The sequence below is a fragment of the Homo sapiens genome, chromosome 17 (assembly GCF_000001405.40).
Source record: "Homo sapiens chromosome 17, GRCh38.p14 Primary Assembly".
Lineage (NCBI taxonomy): Eukaryota > Metazoa > Chordata > Mammalia > Primates > Hominidae > Homo > Homo sapiens.
Window position 1 is genome coordinate 14,615,452 of NC_000017.11, and position 4,139 is coordinate 14,619,590.

The 4,139-nt window shown below is 41.5% G+C and overlaps 1 long non-coding RNA gene across 1 annotated transcript; it reads left to right on the forward strand.

Moving 5' to 3' along the window:
- The first annotated feature begins 354 nt into the window (after positions 1 to 354).
- On the forward strand, positions 355 to 3,889 carry LOC107984996 (uncharacterized). Its single transcript, XR_001753052.2, has 3 exons — positions 355 to 941; positions 2,383 to 2,485; positions 3,786 to 3,889. It is a non-coding gene; the product is annotated as an uncharacterized LOC107984996 (long non-coding RNA).
- Positions 3,890 to 4,139: the final 250 nt, after the last annotated feature.

Genomic DNA, 4,139 nt, shown 5'->3' on the forward strand with positions numbered 1-4,139 from the left:
AGTCCAAAGTTCACATTAGGATGCACTCCGTCTTGTGAATTCTTGCCAAATGCATAATGTCATGTATCCACTATTACAGTATCATACAGAATAGGTTCACTGTCCTAAAATCCTGTGTGGTCCACCTATTCAACCCCTCTAGCTCCTCCTGAACTCCTGACCACACTGATTCTTTTACAGTCTCCATAGTTTTGCTTTTTTTTCTTTTCAGAATGTCATATAGTTGGAATTACACAGTAAATGAGCTTTTCGGAATGCCCTTTTTAATGTAAAAATATTACTTAAAGTTCTTCTATGTCTTTCTGTGGCTTGGTAGCTCATTTCTTTATTTCTTTTTTGGTAGCTCACTTCGGTTTTTTTTTTTTTTTTTTTTTTTTTTTTTGAGATGGAGTTTCTCCCTTGTTGCCCAGGCCGGAGTGCAGTGGCATGATCTCAGCTCACCGCAACATCTGCCTCCCAAGTTCAAGCGATTCTCCTGCTTCAGCCTCCCAAGTAACTGGGATTACAGGCATGCGCCACCATGCCGGGCTAATTTTTGTATCTTTAGCAGAGACAGGGTTTCTCCATGTTGGTCAGGCTGGTCTCGAATTCCCGACCTCAGGTGATCCGCCCACCTGGGCCTCCCAAAGGTAGCTCACTTCTTTTTACCCATTACATGGATATACCATATTTTGTTTATCCATTGGCCTGTTGAAGGACATCTTGGTTGCTTCCAGCTTTAGGCAATGGTGAATCATGTGGTTATAACATTCATGTGGAGTGTTGGATGTTCTATTGTGAGAAGGCGATGCATGGAACCAAGGCAGCCATCTTTTTATCATGGGGTGAAAATCTGAGGATGAAAAGTGAATATGCGAAGGATGCAGAGTGGAAGGAAAGGAAGAACTACATCCTTGAGGACACGTGGGAGCCAGTGGGCCAATCCCAGGATTCCTTGTCAGGTAAGCACTAAGTGTCTCCATGAAGTAGGCTACTATTAGTAAAATTTTCTGTGAGTTGCAACAGAAATTATCCTAACCAATGAAAGGGCTAGTCCATGCCATGATTTATCTGGTTAGCATATTTTATTTTCTATAGCACATTTTAATTTATCTTTTAAGGTAAAAAAGGACTTTACTATTGTGTATTTTTAAGTCAAAATTTTTCTGACTTTTTATATAACATGAGTCACATCCAGATATTTTACTCTAAATTTTAATAGATGGTAACTCATGTGCAGTAAATATTAAATTGCAATGACTAATACAAGAGATTCACATTCCAACACTCACATTAGTTCTCGAGAATGTGGTTTTTAATGTGGCTGGACGCCTCTGTCTTTTCTTCACTTTAAGCTCAGTCTCTTTATCCTATGCCTTGTGAAAGGAGGGTGATTATCATACTCATCTTCACAAATTGGAGGCTGTCAAGCAGTCAGTGAGTCCCCTTGGAAATACTGAGGCACACTAAATTCATTAAAAGTAGCCATCCAGAAGGCTAAAGGAGACAGCCTTCAGTGATTAAGAAAGAAAATCAGACTTGTGACTGCCGCCTGATTAGCAATCTAATTTTAAAAGCATCGACATTCTTCATAAAAAAGACATCAACATTCTTCAAACAGTTATCTCAACACTAATCTGCACTCTAAACAGCCTAAGTCTATTACGATCATGTCTTTTTAGTCAGTCTTTGCTGCCTCCAATTCACATCCATTTGCCAGAGCTGAAGCACCCAGTTTACCCCAACACAGACTTTCATCCAAATCCTCACATTAATGGTCACCTTCTGGATCAACACATGCCAAGCTGTTCTCTTTTTCTCTTACCAGGCTTTCAGACTTAAAGATTTTTGCATTCCCTAAATCTCCTCTTCCTAAGGTTGAATGTCCCTTGTTTCTTTAATTGCTCTTCATGAGACATCATTTCCAGACCCTTGATTATTCGGGTCTCTCCCCATGGGATACAATTTCTCCTGTCAATATCCTTCGTTCACTGTGGTACTTGAGACTCCACATGGTAGTGTCCTAGGCTGGGCTCTCCCAGAAGCGACCCTCGGAAGAGGATTAAAATGGGGATGGGTATTTGGAAGGTGATCCCAGGAAGCATGTGTAGGAAGTGAGGAAGTAGAACAGGGAAGGGGAAGACACTAATACAGGCTGTGTTACTGAGCATGTACTGCTATGAGCAAGGGGGGCTGGGGCTTGTCATTCATGCTTTGGATCACTGGGACACTATATAGAGCTTACTCTCAGAGTTGTCTCACCTATGGGTGAAGGAGCTGGGATATTTGTCCAGTCTCCTATCCTTTATTAGTATTCTGTACAATCTGATAAGCACAAACAATCATAAACATTCACGACCTTTTTAGTATAATCTAGGATTCTTTAATTTGTTTTTCATACAGCTGAACCATATCCTGGAATCCTCCCAGATACATCATCAACGAAAACCCCTGGATTTCCTTGTGGATAGCCAAATCTCTGCCAACTTGTATATGAGCAACTTAGGTATTTATTATTTATGCATTTATTGTTATATATTATTTTATATATATTATTTACTTATGCATTGCGGATCTCTCTGATTTGTTTAGTTGGGATGCGGGACTCCAATATGTTACGATCACTCTTCAGCCTGCCATTTCCCTGCTTCAACTTTCTGTTTCTTTGCTTTTCTTTGGCACGAGGCACGTATTCCCTGTTCTAACACCTTTTCCTGCCCTGTTACCTCCTGGTCAGCTCTCGGGTCTCAGCCCTGCCATGGGTCAAATAGTTAACAGTGCACATTTCCCGATGAAGCCTCACACATTAGAAAATGAAACGAGACAGCTGTCACAGACAACGCCCAGGAAAGCCATTCATCTATGTTGCCTTCTAGTTGAAGAACTCAAGGAAACTAGATTTTTCTGTATCAATGCTCATGACTACATCTAGATTTTCCATGCAAAGTAATTAAATTAGTGTATGTTGCCGGGTTGCAAATTTACTTACACTGTATTTAGATGTGCACAGAAATTCTAACTTCTTTATTTTCTATGCTGTATCTGGTTTTTCTCAGAATTTCCTCACCATGTTGGAAATAAGAGGAAAAATTAAATTTGCCAGTGTTTAGTGTCGCAGTTGTTTCCAATGTAAGTTGGTTTTCCAATGACTCAGTCTCTTTGGAGGAAATGCTTGATCTTTCAGATTGTTTTCTCTTTTTCCATGCTTCTCTCTTCCCTGATTAATGCCTCTGGGTGTGGGGAGGGCTGTGTGGAGCTGGGGCCCAGGATGGAGGGAGTGCAGCCCTCTCTCAGGACTGGAAACTGTTGACCTTGTGCCTGTTGCTATCTCTAGGATCTATGGTCTGGACCATCGGCTTCTGGTTGCAAATGCCCTGCACACTGCAGTCTCTGTCTTGATTGTGGGCCTCTGTCTGTCCACCAGTCTTTCTACCATTTTTGTATCCCCACAGTGGAGCCACATGGAGCCTCAGAATTCTTTGGTTTCTCTAAGCAGCCATAAAGCCTCATAAATCCTGCATTAGGTTTATCTACCCAGCCACCTTCCTTCAGCAAGGTTGCCCTCCAGACTCCACACCATGCCAACATGCAGATGATGGTGGCTTCTATAACAACATCTCTAGGCTATGGCCTGGGAATCCTGACATTCTTGAATTTGTCTGCATTTCTCTAGATATTTCTATTGTTTCCTCTATTTGAGGTTTTATTGTATGAAGGGGGAGGCAAGAGCACACACATCTGTCTTTCTTTCCTTTGTAGATGAGACAGTTAGTGCTTACCAAACATTCCATTCCACTCTCTTGTAGGGTCTAGGTGCCTATTTGGGGTCAATTATCACCTCCAGCTTGATACAACTAAGAGCCATAAAAGAACAAGAAACAAACTTTTGTTGTGATGAGCCCATGAGATGCTGGAGTGTGTTACTGCTGCGTAGAGGTAATCGCCCCACACAAAACACTCTTTCCCAGTCTGCTGAAGCAAGAGGGATACATTTTATCTTCCTGTCTATAAAGGAAATTCTCTGGTTTGTATCTTCTGTTCTAGGAGGTGAGGTGCATTAAAGCTTCATTGCTGAGCCTTTCTGGGATAAGATTCAGCCCCACTGGGACAGTTGGTTGGATTTTGAACTAGGATTCATCCCCATGACATATACTTTCATA